The 27,197-nt window shown below is 39.3% G+C and overlaps 1 long non-coding RNA gene across 1 annotated transcript in view; it reads right to left on the bottom strand.

Annotated features, from left to right (window-relative positions):
* Nucleotides 1-18,902, bottom strand: part of LOC124901423 (uncharacterized) — a 39,155-nt gene extending 20,253 nt beyond the window's left edge. The window contains exon 1 of the long non-coding RNA XR_007059804.1: nt 4,273-18,902. This is a non-coding gene — a long non-coding RNA (uncharacterized LOC124901423). The remainder of the gene's footprint in view (nt 1-4,272) is intronic.
* Between the last annotated feature and the right edge of the window lie 8,295 nt (nt 18,903-27,197).

Genomic DNA, 27,197 nt, shown 5'->3' with positions numbered 1-27,197 from the left:
CAGGTGTCACCAACCCCCAGGCTATGGACTGATACCAGTCCATGGTCTGTTAGGAACCAGGCCGCACAGCAGGAGGTGAGTGGTGGGCAAGTGAATGAAGCTTCATCTGTATTTACAGCTGTTCCCCATCGCTCACATTACTGCCTGAGCTCTGTCTCCTGTCAGATCAGCTGTGGGATTAGATTCTCCTAGGAGTGTGAACCCTATTGTGAACTGTCCTAGGGTGCATGCTCCTTATGAGAATCTAATGCCTGATGATCTGTCACTGTCTCCCATCACCCCCAAATGGGACCATCTAGTTGCAGGAAAACAAGCTCAGGGCTCCTACATTATGGTGAGTTGTATAATTATTTCATTTTATGTTACAATAGAATAATAACAGAAATAAAGCACACAATAAATGCAATACACTTGAGTCATTCTGAAACGATCCCCCTCACTCTTGGTCCATGGAAAAACTGTCTTCCATAAAACTGGTCCCTGGTGCCAAAAAGGTTGGGGATCACTGCTTTCCATTCTACTCTCCCTCCCTCCTACTCTCCTTTGCCCTCTTCCTTCCTTCCCCTCCTCCTCTTTCCTTTCCCTGACAAGAGATTAAGTTCATCATCAGAAGAGAGTATCTGATGTTAGAAAAAACAAAAAGGGCAAGGAACCAATGAAGATTATTTTAAAAAAAAAAAGAGTCCTTCACTGCCATAGAATTACTCTGGGTTAAGCCCATCCGATTTCTACAGTAAATAATTTCAAGAGCTCATAAAGAACAAAATCAGCAGCATCTAGTTCAAGTCCCTTATTGGATGGAAACTGAGGACCAGGGAGATGAAATTGGTCTGCCACAGTTACACTATAAAACTAATGAGGAAATTTCCTGACAAATTTTTAGTAGGCTTTAAAAAGGTGTGCAAGAACATTTACTTGACAATCAAAGCAAAGTTTAAAGAAATATTTCACGAGTAACAGCCATTGTCACCATCAAATTACATCTTAATGCCTAGAATGAAAAAAGCAAGGGATAAAATGCATACACATGGTATATTTCTTGAGGCCTTATGTGAGAAGGCCAAAGGAATTGGCTTTATATTTGGCATTAAGACAACAACAAGAACAAGAGAAAGCTTAACACTTTTCAGTCTATGCAAGGATAGTGTGAGTCGTGGTGAGCAGTTTTTGCCTTTTTCCCAAGCATAGGCTATAGAATGTGGCTTAGACAGCTTGGAGTAGGAACGCTGAATTCTGCTGAAAGATTTCAAGCCCTAATGCACACAACTGCCAAGTAAAGCTGTGAAATTTCTTTTTCTAACAGGCTTTAAGATATCTTTCAGGGTTAGTTTACATGTAACGTGACTGTGACCTAGCATTACCCTTCAAGACTTCTAAGAGGCTACAGTTATCTAGTTTAGAGTCTGACTTTAAAGTCTGCACACTTGTGATTATGGTGTATTACATTTGACAAATTGGAGAGAACTAAGCCTTCTCCGAGTGTTGAATCTAATGACACCAATTTAGATTTACAAAACAACTTCATGATTGTTTTGCCTTATATTCAGTGTCTCCAGATGGTAGAAAGGTTCTGCTATTTTTGATTTTCCCATTTAGAGGGGAGGGCAAAGAGTTACAAGGCAGGATGATGACAGTCGAGTGACCACTGAGTCCCAGGCAGGAGTGGTCTTTAAAGAAACTCTGGCCCTGGAACATACATACTTTTCACAGTGTCATCCGCTTTGCTGCTTAAGGAATCAGCACTCTGACAACATCCCTTTATTATAAAAATAAATTATATAGTAAAACAAGACTCTTCATTTATATATTCTACAAAATGGCTTCTCTTTTCCTTAATTTTAATCTTTGTAAGACTGTGTTTTTATAGTGTTTCTCTGTTACGCGGACCACCCAAATCAGAATTTTGGGGAGTGCTTGCTGGAAAGGTAGATTCTTTGGCTCCACTCATGGTATATCAGATTAGAATCATGAGAGATGGCACCCCAAAATCCGCAGCTTAAACAAATCTCACAGGTTAATCTCCTGCGTTGTTCTAATTTTTGAGTATTACCTAAATCAATTCTACAAGCTTGCTCTGAAAATTCCAACTATTCAATTTCTTCCAAAGAACAACAACAAAAGTATAGACTTCAGTTCTACAATAAAAACATATAATTACACAAATACTATGCCAAGATAACAAGCCTGCACACATACTCCCTGAATCTAAACTAAAAGTTGAAATTATTAAAAAAATTGCAGAAGCAGATTCTCTAAAATCTTGTTCTCAGTGGGTAAATTCTCTCTTTGCTTTTTCTTTTTTTAAAAAATTTCAATAGTTTTGGGGAACAGTTGTTGTTTGTTTGCATTGAAAAGTTCTTTAGTGGTGAGTTCTCAGATTTTGGTGCACCTGTCACCCAGTGTACACTGTACCCAATGTGTAGTCTTTGATCCCTCACCCCCTTCCCACTCTTCCTCCCAAGTCCCCAAAGTTTATTACATCATTCTTGTGCCTTTGTGTCCTTATAGCTTGGCTCCACTTATAAGTGAGAACATATGATTTTTGGGTTTCCATTCCTGAGTTACTTAGCTTAGAACAATGGTCTCTGGCCTGGTGCGGTGGCTCACGCCTGTAATCCCAGCACTTTGGGAGGCCGAGGCGGGTGGATCACGAGGTCAGGAGTTCGAGACCAGCCTGGCCAATATGGTGAAACCCTGTCTCTACTAAAAATACAAAAATTACCCAGGCGTGGTGGTGCTCGCCTGTAGTCCCAGCTACTCGGGAGGCTGAGGCAGAAGAATTGCTTGAACCTAGGAGGCAGAGGTTGCAATGAGCCAAGATCATGCCATTGTACTCCAGCCCAGGCAACAAAGCGAGACTCCGTCTCAAACAAACAAACAAACAAAAAATGGTCTCCAACTCCAGCTTGCTGCGAATGCCATTATTTTGTTCCTTTTTATGCTTCTTTTTTATAGGTCACATAGATATTTATGAGTCTGGTTACAATTTCATACCAAATTAAGAGTAATAATTGGCCTCCTTTTTCTGACTCAGTTTTTATGAGATCGATCCCCTCTAAATTTAATATTTTCGATATTGTTAGGCTGAAATCCACAAGGAAAGTCAACATAAAATCTTTATGAAAGGTCCTCATTGTAACCAAATAAACAACATAAACCACCCAAAAAATCCTTCCAATGTTTAAGAAAAGATAAGCTTTGATAAGATCAGGAATGATTTGAACAGGTTCCACATCCAAGTTTCCCAACTTCTACTCAGAAAACTGGCTTTCATGCAATTCCCACCCCCATGCAATTTTCAACTATTAACTTTAAAATTTGAGGCTCTCTTTGGCATCCTAGCCCTTTCTTCTTTTGCAGTAGAATGTACAGCCTCAATAACCTCAAAGACAGAAGTTTGCAAACAGGAGTATTATGAATGGGTTTTAATTCCCAGCTGATGAAGTTGTACATGGTGCAATTGACAGATGTTAGCTCGTGCAGGAGTTACATATGCTTAAAATATCTTTCCATTCATGGTGAGAAAGAAATAGCCATTTCAAATCTACACTAGCTGGTATGCTGCCCCCAGCCAAAAGCTCTTTATGTAGAAATGTCATTTTACACAGCATAATCACAACAGCAGGAGGAGCTAGGCAGTGGGGTCTAACCCTAGGACAGCAAGAGATCTAATGAACAAAAAACCTGTCTCCTATTAAGGGGAAACAAATTTAAAACCATGCTGTGTGGCCAGCCTCCAGTTTACTTTATAAGATCAATATTTCAATGTTATCTGCTAGAAATCATATCCCTGGATTCTCACGTGACCAGATCCAAGCAGAATTAGTGTCGGAAAAGCTATACTTTTGCTAGAGCACATTAGTGACAGGGTTCTCACTATGAATTAACACCAGTGGATCTGTGGACAAACGATAAGTCGAGGAGATAACAATAGGAAAATAGTCTGTGCATTTACTGTGACACGGCTATTTAGTTCAAATTAATTATGAAAATACCACAGACTGCTAGTCAGCATGTGACGGTTAGGGTTTTGTCAAAGCAAAGATGTGTCTGTAATTTGAGAAACTGCAGTAACTCTCAGATACTAAATTTTTATAAAGTGAAAGGAAAAGGGAAGCCTGGATATTTTGTAAGATCTTTAAGCAGGCATAATACTGAGAGTGCTATACCATACCTTTCATAAATTTTAGACTAGGGAAAGAGCCAGACAAAAAAATCTTGTGAAAATTTTTTGTTAGAAATTAATCAAAGGATCAGCTCTGAATACATCACCTTTAAAAAGCCAGCCACCATCACTACGTTTCTGTGGGCCATCGTCGAAGGTAAACTCGCACAGCTCCTCAGAGAGCCATGTGGGTAGGACCTATCAAGCCTTAAAAATACGCATGCCCTATGACCTCACAATTTAAATTCTGAGAATTTATCCTGAGCAAATAATTAAAGATACTAAGTAAAGATGAAGTACAGAGGCATTCACAGAGGCTCAGTTTGTAAGGGAAAAGAGCTGGAAGCAACATGAATGTACTAAAAACAAAATGCTGGTCAAACTATGACACAACCATTCAATGGGTAATACACATTTGTTAAAGACAATGATGCACACAGAATCATCAGAAAATATTATTTAATTATGATTTACATTGTTTCATGCTAGAGATATACATATTTAATGTAAAAGTGAGTCTAACCAAATATTATCATTGGTGGAAATCAAGTGTATGTTTGTACGTGAAACCGAGTTTTGGTGAATTTCCCAGACTGAGGGTTTGTCTTAAGAAAGCACCTAGAATGAAAATTGGGTCTGAGAGTTTCAAGGCAGCAGAAGTTGCACAGGGACAGAAGGTGTGTCCACATGCCCAGGAGCATTATGTTCACAATCTCCACTTACAATGGCATTAAATCTCAGGCCCTGGATTAACACCTCCCTCCTAACCCCTTCTTATTGCCAACTCCTTGGTTGTAGAAAGACGTTAAAGCAGGGGTTGGGAGAAGTGAGATCTGGCCCTGATATTGCTACTCTTTCTTCAATGTGACATGAACATGTTAGGTAAGGTGGTATTTTATCTGTACATTTTAAGTTTTTTTAAAATAAAATAATGTATAAACCATAAATATATAAGGTTGACTAAAATATATACAGGTGACTTGTAAAATTTCTTTCCAACTGTATGGTGGGCCAGATATCTTGACTAACCCTCCTGTTGAAAACAACTAAAAATTCAAAATAAAATCCTAAAAATACTTTATGACTGAAAGGTCAAAACCAAGTTAAAGCAAGAACCCAAAAAGGTAAGCCAAGCACTAAAGATGACCTTGGTTTCAAGGGAATTTACCATCAGAATGAAACTTAGCATCCATTTTCACAAATTAATGAAATGTACAGAGCAGAAGACAAAGAAAGCCAGAGTTCATCCAAGATCTCCCATATGAGATCCTGCAATAGGAGGCATCTGAATTGTCTACCTGCATACTGTAGGGCGAACCAGAAATTACACTCCCCTCATGAGACTGAATGAAAAAAATCACAAAACCACAGCAAGAGCACAAGCATTAGGTAAGAAAACAGGGTAAAATAAGATCTGCAAGTTTTCAGGTATTAGAATTGTCAAGCACAGAATGTAAAATAATTATGTTTAATAGGTAAAAAAAACTCCCAGCAAGTTTGAAGACATGAATAAAAAGATCAAGAGACTTTTTTAAAAAAAGAGCAAATATTTGAAAAAGAAGCAAACAAATAGAACTACAAGATACTGTAGAAAGTGTCTTTGGAAGTAAAAATTCAGTTAATAAGAGTTTTTATACGTAGCTTAGAGAGAATTAATGAATTTGAAACTAGAACTGTAGAAATTATCCAGAATAAAATGGAGACAAAGAGAAGAGAAATCTAAAAAACAAGTAACAGATAACAGAGAAGGTAAAAAGCGTATCATACTGGCAATCCAGAAAGAGAAGAAAAAATGGGGCAGAAGCAACATTTGAAGAATTAATTACTAATTTCCTCATTTTACACTAAATATGTATTTGTAACATTTATATACCATTTTGTGCTATTTATACTAAGTAGTATAAATAAATACAGTTAAACCTAAATACATGATAGAAAATTGCACAATACCAAAGACAAAGATAATATTCTAAAAACAATGGAGTTGGGGAGTGACGAATCAAATAACCTGCAAATAAAAACATGACTGAGAGTTGTTAAATAAGCAGGAGGCCACTGGCCCAAGACTGTCTCCATACTTTAAGTTTCTGTATAAGAAACTGCAATCTGGCCGGGCATGGTGGCTCAGGCCTGTAATCCCAGCACTTTGGGAGGCCGAGGCAGGCAGATCACGAGGTCAGGAATTCAAGATCAGCCTGACCAACATGGTAAAACCCCGTCTCTACTAAAAATACAAAAATTAGCTGGGCGTGGTGGCACGCACCTGTAATCCCAGCTACTCAGGAGGCTGAGGCAGGAGAACCATGTGAACCAGGAGGCAGAGGTTGCAGTGAGCCGAGATTGCGCCACTGCACTCCAGCCTGGGTGACAGAGCTAGACTTGGTCTCAAAAAAAAAAAAAAAAAAAAAAAAAAGAATAAAGAGAAACTGCAACCTAAGGTAGTACTGAAACAAACTGGAATCTAACTTAGGAGTCTAACTTATGTAAAAAAAAAAAAACAGGTCTCAGCCAATCATAAGCAGCAGTGCTTTAGCCAATCACAGACAGCCAACTCATCAGACCATATCCAAATAAGGCAAACACCTTGCTGTAACAAATCAGATGTGTTCTCTACTTGGCTTCCATGTTCAGCCTATGGAAGCTCACTTCTCATGCTCCTGGGTGGAGCTCTTTGAACCTCTTCTGATTCTGAGTGCTGCCTGGTTCATGAATCATTTTTTGCTCAAATAAATTCTGTTAAGTTTAATTTGTCAAAAGTTTTTCTTTTCCCAGAGTTTACTTCTTAAAGTAATGTAGTGAGTCCTTGTTCAACAGAGCCATGGTTTCTTTTAGTGAGGCACAGCATTAGAATCTAAGATTAGAGTGCTAGGTGTGTTCATAGTTACTGGGATGCCTTTGTTTCTAGGCCTTTTTATTGAATAGAGCTAGAAAATATCTGCGTATATATACACACAGGCAAATATATACCTATGTGGACACAGACATGTATGCATACGCTCATATTACATGCATTACCTACACAAGTATGCTTATTGTAGAAATTATGAATTTACACTGATTGCTACATTCCAATCCATCCCACAGGGTTCTTTCTTTTTTTGAGACAGGGTCTCACTCTGTCATGCAGGCTGGAGTGCAGCGGTGTGATCTTGGCTCACTGCAGCCTTGACCTCCTGGGTTCAAGCAATCCTCCTGTCTCAGCCCCATAAGTTACTGGCACTACAGGTGCACATCACCACGCCTGGCTAGGTTTTGTATTTTTAGTAGAGATGAGTTTTCACTATGTTGCTGGGGTTAGTCTCAAACTCCTGAGCTCAAGCAATCTGCCCGCTTTGGCCTCTCAAAATGCTAGGATTATAGGCGTGAGCCACTGCATCTGGCCTCACAGGGTTCTTTCTTGTTCACCCTCATTACATATTTGTATGTCCCTTCTTTCATAATGACAAACCTGGCTCCCAACAAAATTGACACACTTACTTGCCTGTTGGATCCCATAACATAAATTGTTTCACAATTGCTTTATGTATGCCACCATAGAAAACAAAATAAACTAAAAAGAATGACAGATTTGTTTGAAGCTCTTGTGCCACGACTTTTCCCTAGACAGACAATATACAGTCATATACTGTTTTCGTGAGTTACTTAGTTCTTTTAAATTTTCTTTCAGTGTGGTTATAGTATTCATTTGAAATAAATTAGGTTAATTTGTTTCTATTTGCTTTTAACTTTATTTTTTCCTCCCTTCCCAACCTAGTTGATTTTATTCTTTTGAGTATATAAAACATTAACATGCCTCCAAAAGTAAAAACTGTACCAAGAAAGCTATATTAAGAGAAATGTCACTTCTCTCCAAATTTTTTCCACTCTGCTTCTCATTACCACTTGTAGGTGACAAACTTCTTTGAAGTAAAACATTGATGATTTATCTTTCCTGTGTTGTTTTTGAAATTAAAAGCAGATACCTGACTGGTTTTCTAATTTCCTCTTCTTATACAAGAGGTAGCATACTACAGATGGTATTTTGAATTTTGCATTTATGGAAATGTTCTTCTTCTAAAAAGAACATCAAGGGTTACAGAAGAAATTGTGATAACATTTAGAGAATATTTAAACAAAATTATAATGATGATGTTGAATATCAAAACATATTCAATATCCCCCAAAACTGACTCAAGAATAAATAGAAGGGCTTATATTATCGTATCTAGTGAGCATTCAGAATCATTAAATAAAGAAAACACCAGGTAGTACTTATTACTCATAAGTCCTACCGCATTTGTTTTAAAGTTACAAAGTCACCCACATTATACCAAAGGGTAGGAAGAGATGGAATATTTATCAAACTAATTTTTTTTGGTGGGGGGTGGGGTGGAAGCTAATATGATCTTCATGTCAAAACCCAAGTTGAGGATAGTACAACAAACAAAATTAGAGTTCAGTCTTTCTCATGACCATATGTGTTGGAAACTGTTAACTATCTCCCACCTTTAAGTTGCCCTTTGTTTCTTTTAGTGATGGGCATTCACACAGAACTTCATACAACCTGGGTTCATGGACACCACGCCACAGAAAATATTTTTCTGTTTGACTTTCAGGTATCTGTAGCCATGGAGTTAGCTTTGGGTGAATGAGATATGAATGGGTAGGGGGAGGGCAATTTCCTGGTCGTCTTTTTATGAAGACTGTTCAGGACTCTCTGCCCTTCTTTGAACTGGCAGAGAAATAATGATGACTTGGAAGCTAAGTACTGAATACACAAGGCAACTCTACCAGCCACAAACCACTCCCCTATTCCAGACTATTACCTGTGCCAGAGAGAAAAGTAAATGTCTGTCTTATGTGTGCTATATATGTTGGTTTTGTTTGTTATAGCAGCTTAGTTTCTAGCCTAATTAATACATAATAGATGTAAAAATCTTAAATATATTAGCAAACTGAATACAGCAAAGAACATAAATGATGACCATGTTGCGTTTATCTCAGATGTGCGAAGGTAGTTTAACATAGGACAATCTATTAATATATTTTATCATATTAGCAGATCAAAACAGAAAAATAACATGATGATCCCAATAATTTCATTAAAAAGTGTTGGGTAACATTCAGATTTTTAGCAAAATGATGTTAGAGAAGATGGGAAAAATGTGACTCTCAGAATAAATTAAACATTATACTTAATGTGATATGTTAGAAATAGTCCCTTTAAGATGAAGAACATCAAAAAGTACCCACATTAATTTCTATTAAGTGTGGAACTGGAAGTGGATACAGCACAGTAAGGTAAGAAAGAAAGAAAAGAATTAGAAGGGAAGAAATAAAATTAACATTATTAGCTGACTGTACGATGGTCTATATCAAAATATCCCAGAATTTACAGAAAAAGTATTACAATTATTAAGAAAGTGAATGGCCTGGGTAATTTGGGTTCCTCAGAGTTGTTTGGATTTAAATATAAATTGTATTTCTTCTATACATTGGGAAATTTAGTTTTAAAAGATACTATTATAATAGTATCAAAATATAAATTTCCTAAGAATAAATCCAGCTACTTTGGTACTTTATAGAAAAATCTTAAAACTTTATTTGAAAACTTTAAAGACTCCTCTCTCCCCAAAATAGATATCTCATGTTCAGAAATAGGATGACTCAAAATTATAATAAGGCTAATTTTTAACAAATGGATCTATCAATCAATTCCAATCCAAATCCTGGCAGATTTTGTCTGTTTGTTTGTTGAACAAAATAAACTGATTCTAAAATGTATATGGAGAAACAAAAGGACAAGAAAAAATATATATCTTAAAAAGAAAAAACAAAGAGTGGGGAACTCAATTTACCAGAAATCAGGGATTATGATGAAACATTTGATTAAGATTGTGTGGTTTGGGAGCATAAACCTGGGAGATATGACTTATTGCTGCTGACCAATGGGCAGAACATGACTTTTTTCTTTTTCCCTTTTTAGAAAAATTTAATTTATATTTTAGATTCAGGGGGTATATGTGCAGGTTGGTTACAGGTTGGTTACATGAGTATATTGCTTGTTGTTGAGGTTTGGGGTACAATTGATCTGGTCATCCAGGTACTGAGCATAGTACCCAATGGGTACTTTTCAACCCTGGCCCTTCTCCCTCCTTCCTTGCTCTGGTAGTCCTGAGGGTCTATTATTTCCATCTTTACGTCCATGTGTACCCAATGTTTAGCTCTCACGTATAAGTAAGAACATGCTTTATTTGGTTTTCTATTCCTGCATTAATTTGCTTAGGATTATGGCCTCCAGCTGCATCCATGTTGCTGGGAGGGACAAGATTTCATTCTTTTTATGGCTGCATAGTATTCCATGGTGCATATGTACCACATTTTCTTTATCCAGTTCACTACTGATGAGCATCGAGGCTGATTCCATGTCTTTGCTGTTGTGAATAGTGCTGCAATGAACATTTGAGTATATGTGTCTTTTTGGTAGAACGATTTATTTTCCTTGGGGTATATACTCAGTAATGGGACTGCTGGGTCAAATGGTAGCACCATTTTTAGTACTTTGAGAGATGTTCAAACTGCTTTCCATGCTGGCTGAACCAATCTACATCCCCACCAACAGTGTATGTGTTTCCTTTCCTTTATAGCCTCACCAACACATGTTATTCTTTGACTTTTTAGTAATAGCCATTCCGACTGGTGTGAGGTGGTATCCCATTGTGGTTTTGATTTGCATTTCACTCATGATTTGTGACGGTGAGCATTTGTTCATACGTTTGTTGGATGCTTGTATGTCTGTTAACGGCTTTTTGAGAAACGTCTGTTAACGGCTTTGCCCACTTTTCAATGGGGTTGTTTTTTGCTTGTTAATTTGTTTAAGTTCTTTGCAGATCCTAGATAGTAGACCATTGTTGGATGCATAATCTGCAAATATTTCTCCAATTCTGTAGGTTGTCTGTTTACTCTGTTGATAGTTTCTTTTTCTGTGCAGAAGCTCTTTAGTTTAATTAGGCCCCAATTGTCAATTTTCCTTTTTTTTTTTTTGAGGTGGAGTCTCACTCTGTCACCCAGGCTAAAGTGCAATGGTGTGATCTCGGCTCACTGCAACCTCTGCCTCCCAGGTTCAAGCGATTCTCCCACCTCAGCTTCCCGAGTAGCTGGGATTACAGGCATGCACTACCACTCCCGGCTGATTTTTGTATTTTTAGTAGAGACAGGGTTTCACCATGTTGGCCAGGATGGTCTTGAGCTCCTGACCTCAGGTGATCCACCCACCTTGGCCTCCCAAAATGCTGGGATTACAGGTGTGAGCCACCGCACACGGCCTCAAAGTTCATTTGCGTTGCAATTGCTTTTGGGGACTTAGTCATACATTCTTTGTTAAGGCCAATGTCCTGAAGGGTATTTCCTAGGTTTTCTTCTAGGATTTTTATAATTTTAGGTCTGAAGCTTAAGTCTTTAATCTATCTTGAGTTAATTTTTGCATATGGTGATAGATAGGCATCTAGTTTCATTCTTCTGCATATGGCTAGCCAGTAATCCCAGCGCCCACTTATTGGGTGGGTGTCCTTTCCTCATTGCTTATTTTTGTTAACTTCATCAAAGATCAGATGCTGGTAGATGTGTGGCTTTATTTCTGGGTCTGCAAATTTTCAATAAATAATCTGGGACTAACTTTTAAATGGGTCATTTAAAAAATGGAATTAGATGTTTACCTTATACCATAAATAAGAATCAATTTCAGGTGTATTAAAGACTTAGAGTAAAATGCAAAATTATAAAACTCTTAGGAGATGACATAAGAAATGATCCTTCTGACCTGGATTGAAAACTTTTTGTTCAATACATAAAAAACCTCTGAAGAAACATTGGGAGACATTGAAAGGGTAACAGTTTAGAATTCTGTTCCAGCAAGTAACCAAAAAAAAGGAGATACTTCACATCGGGCAAAAAATATGTTCAAAATCTAATTTGGGTGAATTGTAGTGTTTGGAGAAAGCATTAAACATAAATCAGCCAACACGGGCTTCTCATGCAGAGGCCTCCTTCTCACACCCCAATAGAACTGGCTACCCTTTCTGACAACAGCCAGATAGTCTTAGGAAGGCAAAGCAAGAAAAAAGTGCAATTCACACTCATCAACAGAAAATATGGGTCTTTAAATTATCTTGCATAAGTAATAAAATAAATATTAAAGGTTAATATTGAGTCACAGAGGGCTTACCTTCCTATCAATATTAACGAATGTAGTACATTAGCACCTGAAAGCTACACTTTACATTTTCATCTGTAAGACAGATAAAAAGAAGTGATTCCTAGAGCATATAAAAATCATTTATAGCCAAGGACATCTGCCATGAACTTCCCCCAAAATTATTTGGTTATAAGACAATGAATCATGGAAGTGCCATTAAAAGCTGAGGCTAGAGAATATAAGAATTTTCCCTCCAGGCCAGTGCTCACTAACTGGTGACTCCACAATCATTGCCATAAATTTTTTAACCCCTTTGCTTCCTCATATGGACCACCAGCTCACAGGAGAACTATAAAATCCAGATAACTATAAATAATTTCTTCTCCTTTTTCTTTTTCCTTCCCTGTCTCTTTCTCTCCTTGCATCTTTCCCTCCTCCCTTTCTTTACTCCCTCTCCCTTCTCTTTACTCCCCTCTTCTTCCTCTTCCTCCTTTTCCTCCTCCTTCACTTTGCCCTCTCTTTTTCCTTCTTACTTTGTAGAAACAAAAATGACTCACAATTGAAGGTATAACTTTTTTTCTTAATGAGGGAAGTAGTAAAATCTTTCAATATGGGGCATATATGAAACTGAACTTAATAAATAAAAAATATAACTCCAATGTGTTTCTAATATCAGATGTTTATAATATTCTCAGGAGTCTAGGACAATTTTTCCCTGCATGCTGGAAAGAGAAGAAAGTCTTATTTCCCTGATCTAAATAATTTCAGGTACATAGTAGATCAATAAAGCAGAGCTGGCATAAAACAATGATTATTTCATAAGGACAAGTCCTTTTGAAATAAACATAAAAGTCTAGACTTGTAGCTGTGACTTCTTTTATAATGACAGCAGATATGAAACATGAATTGCTTTCTTTACTACAAAAACAGCTTTGCAATACTGGATGGGAGAAGACTGAGAATACAATTTTAATAACTGTCCTGAGAACACATTGACCTCTACTTTCAAGCTTCTAGTTTATGTAGTCAATTTGAGTTAAAGAACGTGGATATTGCTCCAAGATTTCTGTCTATCATCCCCTCTCCTCTTTCAGCTCCACTGTCTCCTACCAGTTTGCCCCAGCAACTTCATGGCAGCTGAGGACACCCGGTCCAGCTAGGGGAGCAATTTCTGAAGATTCAGGGCAAGGTCACCAGCTGGCATTAAGGTTAAAGTGGCTTCTCAGTGCTAGAGAGTCACCAAGGTTAATTGGGATGTCATATACGCTCATATTCACGCTCACTCTGTGCATTTAAATTTATACATCACCAAAAAAAAAATTAAAAGAAAAAAAGAAAAGACATCGAAGACTCAGTAAACATCATTCCCAATCTGGCACCACTTCTCTCCTATGTCTTGCTGGTTTCTGATTCATTCCTCTGCTCTGTCTTCCCATTCTCTTCCTAGGCTGGTCCTTTAAGAATGAGGACTGTGTTTTTTGCTCCTGGCTGCTCTCTATAACATCTGTGACTGCTAAGGGACTGCGGTGGCCTCCTCTGAGAAGGGATTATGCAAACATTAGACAAGGGCTGTAGGGATGTGGCTCTACACCGCCTGTTTTGTATGCAAAGTTTCAACACTCTCCGCTGAACTCTTCAACCATCCTTATTTGATCCTCACCTCAGCATGTGCTTTGGGTGTTTTCCATTTTATATTTCTTCACTTGTTTCTTCAGGGTTTCCCCTTTGGCTGGGGTTGAACAAGGAGCTACAAGAAGGGTAGTGTAGCTGGCTACTCTTGAGATACTAAGTTGCGGGTAATCAGAATCTTGGCTCCTGTGACATACTCTCTGTTGATACACCTTGGTTATGCTGTATTATATAGGGAAAGAGACTTTGCAGATGAAATTAAGGCTTTGGACTTTAAAATAGGGAGATTATTGGGAGGAACCAATCTAATCACATAAGGCCTTAAAAGCAGAGAACTTTCTCCATTTGTAAGCAAAGAAAGATTCATCAGAAAAGGAAGTGAAAGAGATTCAACATGTGAAAGGGACTACAGCCCACTGTTGCAGGCTTTGAAGATGAAGAGAGATTTATTATAAGAAATCAGCTTAAATAATTATGGAGGCTGACAAGTCCCAAGACTTGCAGAGTGAGTTGGCAAGCTAGAGACACAGGAAGAGCCAGTATTTTAGTTTGAGTCTGCATGCAAGAAAAAAAAACCCATGTCTTTTTTCTTTCTTTTTTTTTTTTTCTTTTACTTTACATTCTGGGATACACGTGCAGAACGTGCAGGTTTGTTACATAGGCATACATGTGCCATGGTGGTTTGCTGCACTTATCAACCTGTCATCTAGGTTTTAAGCCCTGAATGCATTAGGTATTTCTCCTAATGCTCTCCCTCCCCTTGCCTCCAACCTCCTGACAGGCCCCAGTGTGTGATATTCCCCTCTCTGTGTCCATGTGTTCTCATTGTTCAACTCCCACTTATGAGTGAGAACATGCGACGTTTTGTTTTCTGTTCCTGTGTTAGTTTGCTGAGAATGATGGTTTCCAGCTTCATCCATGTCTCTGCAAAGGTCATGAACTCATTCTTCTTCATGGCTGCATAGTATTCCATGGTGTACATGTGCCACATTTTCTTTATCCAGTCTACAATTGATGGTCATTTGGGTTGGTTCCAAGTCTTTGCTATTGTAAATAGTGCTGCAATAAACATACTTGTACATGTGTCTTTATAGTAGAATGATTTATAATCCTTTGGATATATACCCAGTAATGGGATTGCTGGGTCAAATGGTTATTTCTGGTTCTAGATCCTTGAGGAATTGCCACATTGTCTTCCACAATGGTTGAACTAGCTTATACTCCCACCAACAGTGTAAAAGCATTCCTATTTCTCCATAGCCTCACCAGCATCTGTTGTTTCCTGACTTTTTAATAATCACCATTCTCATTGGTATGAGATGGTATTTCACTGCGGTTTTGATTTGCATGTCTCTCATGACCAGTGATGATGAGCTTTTTTTCATATGTTTCTTGGGGGCATAAATGTCTTATTTTGAGAAGTGTCTGTTCATATCCTTCAACCACTTTTTGATGGGGTTGTTTTTTCTTGTAAATTTGTTTAAGTTCTTTGTAGACTCTAGATATTAGACCTTTGTCAGATGATAAATTGCAAAAATTTTCTCCTATTCTTTAGGTTGCCTGTTCACTCTGATGATGGTTTCTTTTGCTGTGCAGAAGCTCTTTAGTTTAACTAGATCCCATTTGTCCATTTTGGCTTTTGTTGCAATTGCTTTTGGTGTTTTAGTCATGATGTCTTTGCCCATGTCCTATTTCTAAGGCATTAGGCAGGAGGAATTCTTTCTTACTTTGGAGAGGGTCAGTCTTCTGTTCTCTTTAGGCCTTCCACTGATTGGATGAGGCCCACCCTCATTAGGGAGGGCCATCTGCTTTACTAAGACTATTGATTCAAATGCTAAGCGCATCCAATACGATTCTCATAGAAACACCTGGAATGATGTCTGGCCAAATATTTGGGTGCCCTGTTACTCAGTCAAGTTGATACATAAAATTAACCATTACAGGGGCTATGAGCTGGGGACCAACAGCCTTTAAAGGCAGAGAATGACATCCAGCTGACAGCTAGGATGGAAAGAGGGACCTATGGCCACATGGAACTGATTGGCGCCAATAGCCTGAATGAACCTAGAAGCAGATCCTCCCCTGCCACACCCACAAGCTTCCATATAAGAGGCTAGGGTGGCCAACACCTTGATTCTGGACTCGTGAGACCCAGAGCAGAGGAATCATCTGCACCCACCCAGACTTCTGACCTGCAAAATGTAAAAATAATAAATTTGTGTTGTTTTAAAGTCACTTTGTTTCTGGTAATTTGTTATGGGAAATCAATGTGTTATTTTTCTCCTTATAATTTTCCATCTCTCTTTCTTCCATTTAAACAGGAAGTTGGCTCTGTGTTTTAGGGAGTCATGAGGGTAGGTGGAGAGTATGTCCAGAATTTGTCTTCACATTTTAAATAAATTTATATTTCAATATAAATATTAATAAAAAATAAGATACACATACATACATTTAAGTATATAATAAAACAAAAAGTATAAAATATTTCTACTTTATATGTATATTTTGATGAAATATAAGGCCATAGGGAAAAGGAATTCTTGAGTTTAGATAGAGTGTCTAGATGAGAGGAAATCAGAGGCAGGAAAGGGAAACTGTTTCCTGTAACCCTGATCTCTCACTGGCGTTGTGGGCAGGAGACTGGGAGGGAGAAGTAAAGGGACCACCAGAAGGTCCTTAGGAACTGACCGCCAGAAAGGACACATTGCCTAGAATGAGGTTGGGGGCTGGGCCTGATGAAAGACCTCCACTGGGAGCATCACTTGAAAGTCCAAGAGTGATGTGAAGCCTGTGCCGCTGCTCCTATGCTATTCCTACACTGCACACACCTCCACATGCACCTGGGGGGCATGAAGGGATGAGCTTGACAGTCCCCTAGGCTGGGAAAGATGTGGTCAACAACCCCGCCACTTTCCAATAGCAAAACCACGGATCTCTGCCTCCACTCAGTTTCCCCTTACATTCAGGGGTTTGTGGGGTGTCTTATACATGTTCTCCCATGCACAGGCCTTTCAGTCATCCCTCGCATGGCCAATCTCCTGGGCTCCACTCTGTGGGTTGTGATGATGTTTCCGGTGCTACCAGCCCACAATTCTGCTCTGCGTCCCCAGTCTGAACAGTCTGAGTTCTCCACTCAGCACTCTGCATCTGTTTCAGGCACCTCAGCAAGGAAGGGTTCCTCAGTTCTACCCTGGGAGCTACATGGTGACACATTCTACAAAGTGGCACCACCTCCTGGCTTTCTTCAACTCACAGAAATATCTCCAAAAAGCAGGTGACCACATACTTTAACACCTAAATCTGAGCACTTTTGATAATGAAGGGAAGGAGCTATTGATAATGATGCCAGGACAATAGGCATCTAAGACAAGGTTATCCCAGGCAAATCAAGTGATATGGTTTGGCTCTGTGACCCCACCCAAATCTCATCTCAAACTGTAATCCCCATGTCGGGGGAGGGATCTTGTGTGAGGTGACTGGATTATGGGGGCCATTCCCCCATGCTGTTCTTGTGTTCGTAAGTTCTCATTGGATCTGATGATTTAAAAGTGAGTGGCAGTTCCCCGCTCGCTCACACTCTCTCTCCTGCAACCATGAGAAGAAGGCCCTGGCTTTCCCTTTGCCTTCTGCCATGATTGTAAATTTCCTGATGTCTCCCAGTCATGCTTTCTGTTAAGTCTGCAGAACTGTGATTCAATTAAGCCTCTTTTCCTTATAAATTACCCAGTCTCGGGTAGCTCTTGATAGCAGTGTGAAAACGGACTAATATCTCATGGGTGTCGTCACCCTAGGAAAAAGGCTCTTCTCTTGGTTTACATTGTTGGCCACAGCCTCTGCTGTCTGGTGCACTATGGTAGGGGTCCTATCATGCCTGGGATGGGTGTCGGGAAGTGGGGAGGAAGATGCACTCACTGATTTGCTGGATTCAAGATCTCCCCTCTGTTTCCTGCTTACTCTTGCTGACAACCCATGCTGGGCTGTCTTGTCTTCCCTTGTTTCAGGTTGGGGCTTTCCCTGAACGTTTCTTGTCCCTCAAGCAGATAGGTTCATGCCAGACTCTCTTTACGTCCTCCAGGCAGACCGGGCAGGAGTGGATTCAAAGGTATACAGAGCTCATACTGCCAAACCGTGCATTTGCACAATGCTGAGTTATGGTCACACAACTAGAAAGGAATTGAGCCAGAACTAGAATCCAAGTCCTTTGAATTCCATTCCTGTGCTTTTTCTTCAACACCATGAAGTTTCAGGTAGCTACAGGATAGACTCCTGGGCATAATACCTACCATGCTTGGCTGAGCAGAACTAGGCTCTTCACGTTTCCTCACCAGACACTTTATTACTCTCACATCCCATGGGATCGCATGACTGGGCCCACGTATCTTTCCAAAAGTCATGCTTCCTCTATTTAGAAGAACAAAATGCAGCCTCTATAGAAACTACTGTGAACAGAAGTAAAGAAGAAAACTCACCTGAGCTAAAATTTTTTTTAATGAGAAACTAATTTAGTAGCCCTCTAGTTTGAATATTCATGCCTTTGGTCACAGGGGAGGCAGCATTTTCTCGATGGCAGGTGGAAGGCAAAGGTTTGGAACCTGGGCCTTAAGATCCTTTTGTGTCTGCCGTTGTACCGCCACGGAGCCTTGCTTGATTCTCACTACACAGTCTGAAGACACTGTCTGTGTACTCTCCAGAAGTGTCATACATTTAGATTTTATTGTTATAAAATGACCAGGTATAATTTTGTAAGGTGAGGTCAGAAAATATTGCAGCCTCTCCCACTCCCCCCACCTCCTTTTAAAGCTAGTTTATTAAGTTAAAAAAGGAAGAAATGCGCCTTCTAACAAACAGACTAAATTAGACTTTTCTCAACCCTTGTCATTTAAAAGATGGTTTGTTGAAACTTGAGAGAGGTTAAACGTATGCCACAATTTGAGTGAAAAAAAAAAAAAAAAACCACCACGGGCTTTCCAGGGTTGCAATTACAACCCTACTTAGTTGCCATGGTGATCATACAGCATATGGATTTTGTCAGATAAAGACATCAGGGGTGGTGAGAAGGGACAGTGTATTTTTTGAATCACCACATGCCAAGTGTCAACTCTTTGGCAGTTCTCTTTCAAAAAAATTTTTTTAAAGAAAAATATGTATCTGGATTGGGAGAGTGGGCTGGGGAGAGGAGCCAGGGTTTGGAAGAATAAAAAGCGGAAGATTCCTAGAAGTGTTTAAAGAAAATCTGAATTTAAAATACACTGAACATTAATGCCAAATTGTGTAATAAAGAGTCCTTAGGGTTTTAGTGTTAGAAGTACCTACTACCTAACAAATACGTTCTGATAAAGGGTGGCCAATCTGTTCCAGTTTCTCCTCTCTTGTGGTTTCTCTTATTTTTATATGTCGTGTCATTTTAATGTTCCTCCCCCTGTTTTAACTGTATGTGCATCTAGGGTTATTTTGTTAATGAATTGTCAATCTCCTGGGCCAGTGATAAAAACTACACTGTAGAATAAGAATGTCTCTGTGCTGAAGACACAGGCCTCTAAGATGGAAAATGATCCTATATATTTCTACCTGTAACAAAAAGCAAAATAAAACAAAACAAAGCAAAACAAAAACCACTTAATATCCTATCAACTCTAATAAAACTTAGAATCCTCAATTTACAGTTATCATTCAGAATGTATCCAGTCGTAATGATTCCATCTGCTCTGCCAGCGGGAAAGTGAAATGAAAGGACTGTGCTCCATCTCTGTCCTCCACCTTGGGGGGTATGTGAGCCTTGGAGTTGCCTAGCTTGGGTCCATACTAGCTGTATGAGACTGAGAGATGGCAGAAACTCATCACAGCAACCGTGAGCTTCTGACCTTATGGACGTTACATTTTAGTGCAGGAAGAGGAACAATCGACACCGAACAAATAATATAGAAGATATTTTCAGAGCGTTTTAAGGACTTGCAAATAAAGAAACATAATCTTGTAATGGAGGGTACCTCGTTGGGGAGGACAGAAGTGGGATGGCGGGTCAGGTACCTATTCCAAGACAGAGCATCTGAGGAGACCACTCAAGGAGGCGATATATAAGTTAGGATCTGAGAGGTGGAACACAGACAGCCAAGCAATGATCTGGGGAAAGACCAGAGGCAAAACAACACAAATACCCTAAGCAGACAGGAGTTTGGCTGAAGCAGAATGAGGATGAGAAGAGGGTATGAGAAGAGGTTGCAGAAAGGGGTAGGTCATGAAGGGCCTGGTGGTCCAGGATATTGAGTTTTGGTTTCACTCTATTTCCTCAGGAGAAATTATAGAATTATATCAAAATACTCCAGAATTTTTGAAAATCTGAAGGATGAGATGCCCTAGGAAGATGCCTGTGGAAAAGAACAGATGGGGTTGGATACGCCCAGGATGTTATGCAGAAGTCTCAGCCAGTGCCTGGGGCTGACTTCACTGGTGATTCCCATTCCTGGCCCTCCACTTCCCTCCAGGTAAAGTGAGTGGGCAAAGATTGGGCAACGGTTTGCAAGCCTTGATGATCGTCATGATAACTTGGTGAGCTTATTAAAAATGCAGGTTCCCAAACCCCATCCAAGGCTTCCTGAATCAGTATCACAATGATGAGGGCCAGAGAACCTCTCTTTCTGTTATATCCTCCTGGATGAGCCAGATCATTGGTCATGTCGGGACTCCTGGTGCAGGGCCTAGGAGCAGGCAAAGTCTACTGATGCCACTGAGGCCCAGGACATAAGAGTAAAAATTGCTTTCTATCTTCACAAATAGGGAGTCAGGAGGCTACAGGCGCTCCTGAACAATGCTTTCAACCTCAATGGAGGCAAGCCTGGGGCTCTAAATTCCACTCCGTTCCTTCTCCTCCCTTTCTGTGTACAACAGCACCCCGCCTCGTGAGGGCTTTATGAGGCTTGGTTCTTCTTAGAATCTCAAATTGCCAATCTTAACTTGCTTAGTGCTTCTCACTCTTAAAATGAAGATGATTTGTAGGAATTGCAAACTTGTCTGTGTATGAAAATGGTGTGTCTGTCTCTTTAAATAGAAAGGCATTAGGGAATATTAGCCAAGGCTAATTATGCAGATCACTTATAGCTAATAATAAAAATTTGCCTTAGGCTTTGTGGGAGTGTCGCTTTTAGGGACTAAGGGTTGGTTTTCCTTCCCTTGTTGTTTTACATATTTCCAAATTAGTTTAAATGTGATAATCTGCAACACTGATAATTATAAATGCTTGACTAAATAGAAATGTGTCAATCTTGAGACAGGCTCCTTTTAAGACAAGTAAGACAAAACCACTGATCCAAGCAATCTCCTTACACCGTACCCGTTAGCTATGGAGGGCTTATTTACAGAAGTGAAAACAAAAAAAAACAAAACAAAAAATCCTCCCAATCTCATTCAGCCTTCTGCCTCTTTCTTGAAGCCAGTGTGGGCATCAGAAAATGTCCACTGTATAGACATCTGTTTGAAGCGAGACCCCGATCAACATCCAATTTAATACAGGTCAGTGAACAAGTGTTAAAAAGCAAGGTCTCTCGTCTGCTTCCAATCTATACTGGATTAAAAACAATGATTTAAAGGTGAAAGGCTCTGTGCCCGGGCCGCGAGCTCAGTGCCACGCAGCGCTTTGGCCATTCTTCAGAGCTGAAATCCTTGGCACCATGTTTTCCTGAGGCCATCTTCATCAGACAGGCCGTTGCTCGGTCTCATCCTGCCAGAGAATTTATTATATTGATTTGGGGAATAAGGTTAATTGAAATGAACTTTTGGTTTTAAAGGTAGCTTTGGTGCAAGCCTCAACAATTAAAATGGAATTCTTCTCCTTTAAATGACTTGGGCTCATTTGACTGCCTGGACAGCGGCTGTTTAGAACAGAGGCAGGCATAATTTTACAACGTGAAATGCTCATTTACTTTTCTCCTGTTGCTATAACAACTCACTTTTGAACCAGACATGGTGATAGAAAGCCTTGGCTTCGCAATGAATTTCACATTGGTTTTGTTTAGATTTTTCAATCCGTTCGCTTGGAACTGCAGCTGGAAATGCAGGAATAGATTTTACTCTTTCCTTTTTTAGAAACCTTGCTTAGGACCAAAGCTTTGTGTTTCCAGCTTGTCTCAAGGGTTGAAAAAAAAAAGCTACACCCCATGTGCAGTTTATGATTTTTCTGACATAAATCATATTTCAAACTCATATTGTGCTCTTCTTTCCCTTAAAGGTAACACCAGGGTTTTTGGTGCTTCTGGCAGAGAAATATGACTGTCAATTCATTCTGCTTTTGAATCTTCTTCTGTCCGAATGTTACCAGCAAGACCTGTGTCTCTGCAGGATTTGGGGATCTGTAAACCTCAAAATCCTGTTAAGCCTCACACTGCATAGCAACATGCTTTGTTTCTTAATGACTCCAAGGGAAAGGCAAGTAAATTTGGCAAACACAAAACAGACAAATATTTTCAGAAAAACATAAAAGAGTAATCACACCCAACAAGACTCCAATTCTGCTTCCTTCCCCTTCTTAAAATCCCCCACCAATAACAGGAGCTCATGCAGGTCTAACATTTACTTCCATGCTTTTGGGAGCACTAGGTGATTTGAACACAGGCAGAATTAAGAATTGAACTGAAAAACAGGCTCAAATGTTTGAGATGAAACAAATGTTTTCCAGTCAATATCTATAGTTTCCTTTTTGGGAAGATAAACCACAGAATAGTTTTCACGGCTTGATAAAATTGTTTAAAATCGTGGAATTCTGGAGGCTAAGAAATAACATGTGAAAAACAATGCCAAGAAATATAAGCTTCTCCTCCCCACACTCCATCTCTAGTAAGATAGGAAGTGGCCATCTGCCAGTTCTGGCCCTGTGGACCTGGTTACCTCCTTTTGTCCATAGTCTTATGAGGAGGAAGAGCCAAATTGTTCATCAGTAGCTTCTATTCTTTAAATATTAAGATTAAATACACAGACATTGACATGGTAAACACATTTAAGATCCTAAGGCATCCTATGAGTGTCAATGAGATGGCGCAACATGTACCAGCACCAGCATTTTCATCTTCTTTGGATATGCTGTTTTGCTCTTGAATTACCTACGCAATTCTGTGAGGCATACACCCAAACATGGCTAGAAGGTATGCTCTGTGGCAGAAACATACACAACACATTTGTTTCTGGCGGCAATACAAAAAATATGACCTATTTTGGAACATAATAACGATGACCTTTACGTAGAGATATTCATTTTCAATGTTGGTGAATCCATTAAAATTAATCTCCAAGCACAGAATCAAAAGAAAAAAAAAACCTAGTAATGAGCCTGATTCTTCTCCCTCTTTCTCTCTCTCTCTCTCTCTCTCTCTCAGTAGAGAGGGAAAAACATCAAACATTATCCAAGAAGCTCAGGCAACTGTGCAAATTCACTTTTCTGCTAGAGCAGAGGAGAGCCTGATACAACTTAGCCTCTTCGCCAGGCAGCCTGTTTGGAGTCTTTGCTGGATAATCAGCCATTCAGAAGTGTACATTTGGAGTCTTCCAAACTCACAATTTCTATCAGGTTGGTGCAAAAGTAATTGCAGTTTTTGCCATTAAAAGTTAACTTTGTAAATGAAGTATGGAAGAAGGAGAATCAATACTTGAGCACCTCTAGGTGTTAGGTGCTGGTTTCGTTTAAAATAAAACACATCCTAAGCAGTTTTATAATCATAAGTGTGAAAAATAGATCAAATAAACTCAGGGAGGCCTACAAACTTGTTGTTTGGCAAACTCTTGGAGCTCATATCAGTTCACATATTCACTAGTCCTAATTTTCATATCTGGCTTGATAAGCAATTTAAAAAATATTTTTATATTTTAGAGTTATGAGGGGAGGATAAGATATTCTTTTATAACATCAGCAAAAATTTTCACTTTTTTCTCAATAACTTCTTCATAATTTATGACTTCTATCTTAACTGTTTCCAAAAAGGGCTGAAGAAGTCATTTTTTTCCCTCTTCATGACACACATGTTGCTTTCTTATAAAAGTCATCTGGATACATTCAAAGTTAAGGGTGACACAGTTCATGGGAGAACAGTATTCAATAATCTTATTAATATTTCAATAGCAACCAAAGGGAACACAGTGGGAGCTGGCACTGAGCTCTCGAGGCCTTCTTTAATGACCGGGATGAATGAGGCGAGCATGGCCTCCTCTGCATGACTTGGGCAAACTTTCATATCCCCATTGATAGCTGGAGAAGTGGTCCCAAGCAACTTGTCTGTATCACAGAGCCATGAGTGGTGGGCCTAGATCAAGACCCTAGACACATGGATCAAACCACTAGGAAACATTGCCTCATAAATATCTTTGTTCAGAGAGAAGCCAGTAAAAAAAAGAACATTTTGAGAGGGAAAATAGCAAAAAGAAATAACAGATGTAAAAGAAGTATACCTATCTAGGTGCAGAAATTCTGAAAGTGACCTTGAGTTAATCACACAATGTTACAAGTATTCCAAAATATTATACACAACTAACAGCAAGGAAAGTGCTGGACTGAAGTGAGACCATAACAGAACTTCATCCATTCACTCAATGATAAAGAAAAACAAAAATAAAAAATATTTTGAGTGGTCATAACACGCCAGGAACTGCGCTAATTATTTTGGGAACAAAGACTAGTAAACCGCAGTCTTTGCTCTCAGGTAGAAGTCTTATTAGCAGGGGTATATATTAATAGAAACAAAGCCATCCTGCTTTAGTAAGTGCTAAAATAAAGCGCATTGGCAGAGGAGCTAGGGAGGGCACCTCAAGAGGTGATATGTGAACTAGGTCTTGTATGAAAGAAAGGAATGTTCCAGATATAGATATGAAGAGGGACTGGAGACAGAAAAGATTCCAAGTTGGAAGTATGTCTATTACGTGTGTGGCTATTTGGTAGTGAAATATTAATATCTCAATAGCGACCAAAGGGAACGGTAAGAGCTAGCACTGAGCTCTTTGAGGCCTTCTTTAATGACCTATAATGTCATGCTCAAGATTTGAGGCTATGTTACCTCATTGCAGAGTTTTATTAGCAGAAGGGTAGTGACATGATGGGGTTTGTGTTTTAGCAAGCATTCCTGCGCTAGTGTGGAAAATGGACTACGGATGGGGAGAGGCACATCAGGAGATAATGGCATCAACCTCAGGAGCAGCTTTTGAGGCCTCAGTTTAGGCAGGTGACAGTTCTGAAAGCCTATTCAAGCATACTAGTTTGCATTACAATTTGCCAACCGAATAGAGGTCTACATGACTGTATGGCAGAAAGATAAAGTTGCCAAAGCAACAGATTTAAGCTGCAATGCTTGGGAGTTTTCCAATTATATGCACAGTTTAGGTGCACAGAGGAGAACCATGCATTCCTTCCTTCCTTTCTATTGTATTCTCTGAAACTGATCCTTCATAGGTAAAATGATGGTAACCACAGCACCTCTCTCATGGTGTGGTTATGAGAAAAGAACAGGATAATTCCTGTGACATGCTTAGCCAGGGGATGGCAAACCTTAGTCACTCAAGAAATGCTAGCTCTGATTATGTTATCTGCACATTTATCTCACTTGGTTTGTGTGTGTGTTGGGTAGGAGGGTATCTATGTGTCTGTGTGAATGTGTTTGCGTGGTGGGTGTGCATGTGTGTTCACGTGTCTGTGAGTGTGTTTGATGGGTATATGTGTGTGTGTGCACTGTGTGTGTGCTAGACCTCCACAATGCCCCTTTCTAAGCTCTGCTGCATTTTTTGTTTTCAAAAATTCCCTAGAGCACCCTTTATTGGCCTGTTTCAGAGAGCGAAAAGAGCATGAGATCTTTACTGTAAGACCAAGTTTATTTACTTATTGACATGTGAAAATTATACTTCAGTGCTCATAAATGAAGTTTTATTAGAACGGAGCCATACACACTCATTTACATATGGCTACTTTAGAGCTTCAATAACATAGTTGAGTAGTTGTGATAGAGACCATATGGCCTGGATAACCTAAAATATTTACTATTTGGCCCTTTTGAGGAAAAGTTTGCCAATTCCTGATATAAGCAATCAGGAATGGTGACCCACATTTGTAAATTGATGCAAAACTGGTCAAAATCCACCTTGCCATAAAATGTAATGTTGAAACCATACCTTCCACAGAAGGAAAATCAATGGCATCTCCATCAGAAAAAATTCACGCAAGACTAAAGTTTTAAAAAATAAAATAAAGAACTAGAAAAAGTTAAGAATACCATATGTATTAGTCCGTTTTCATGCTGCTGATAAAGACATACCCAAGACTGGGAAGAAAAAGGGGTTTAATTGGACTCACAGTTCCACATGGCTGGGGAGGCCTCAGAATCATGGTGGGAGGCAAAAGGCACTCTTACATGGTGGCAGCAAGAGAAAATGAGGCAGATGCAAAAGCAGAAACCCCTGATAAAACCATCTGATCTCATGAGACTTATTCATTACCGTGAGAACAGCATGGGGGAAACCGCTCCCATGATTCAAATTATCTCCCACCAGGTCCCTCCCACAACATGAGGGAATTATGGGAGTACAATTCAAGATGAGATCTGAGTGGGGTCACAGAGCCAAACCATATCACCATACCCTTGGGGTGCTGAAGAACCATTTTGTCTTTCACTTGGATCCTCTTTTGTTCTCCACAGTCCTGATAACAAAAGTTTGATGCACATTCTTGCCATCATCCTTGAAAATGACTGCTATAGGCATACTTTCTATATTTAAGAAAAATAATCTCAATCAACCACCCACAAAGAAAAAGAATGTAACACTCAAAGGACCCTGTGAAAGAAAATAAAACTTTAAGTCCTTTATGGGGAAGTTTCATGATAATGCTAAACTTCCTGGGACTTTTGAAAGGTATTTCTAGAAGCAATACTGAAATTACTCTGTTATTCAATTCATTTATCACAATATCTCTCCCTCCTGTTTGAAATGTAGGGGAGTGAACTCCCCTGAGCATCTTATTCCATTAAAAGGATTCCCTAGGTAGATGGAGTGTGCCATTACACAACCCCACTCCAAAGTGGCATTTCTGCATACTTACGGTATACCACTTTCTGTCTCTTGCTCAGTTTTCAAGAAGGCTGCATTGACTCATGGAGAGAGATGGAATGGTGTCAGAGATCCAGGTTCATAAGCAGCTTTGCCACTTACTAGGTGTTTGATCCTGGACAATGACTTTATCCTTATTCACATTATAAAAGGTAGAAATAC

Source organism: Homo sapiens, chromosome 6 (genome assembly GCF_000001405.40).
Source record: "Homo sapiens chromosome 6, GRCh38.p14 Primary Assembly".
In the NCBI taxonomy this organism is placed as follows: domain Eukaryota; kingdom Metazoa; phylum Chordata; class Mammalia; order Primates; family Hominidae; genus Homo; species Homo sapiens.
This window is presented reverse-complemented; position numbering and strand designations above follow the sequence as displayed.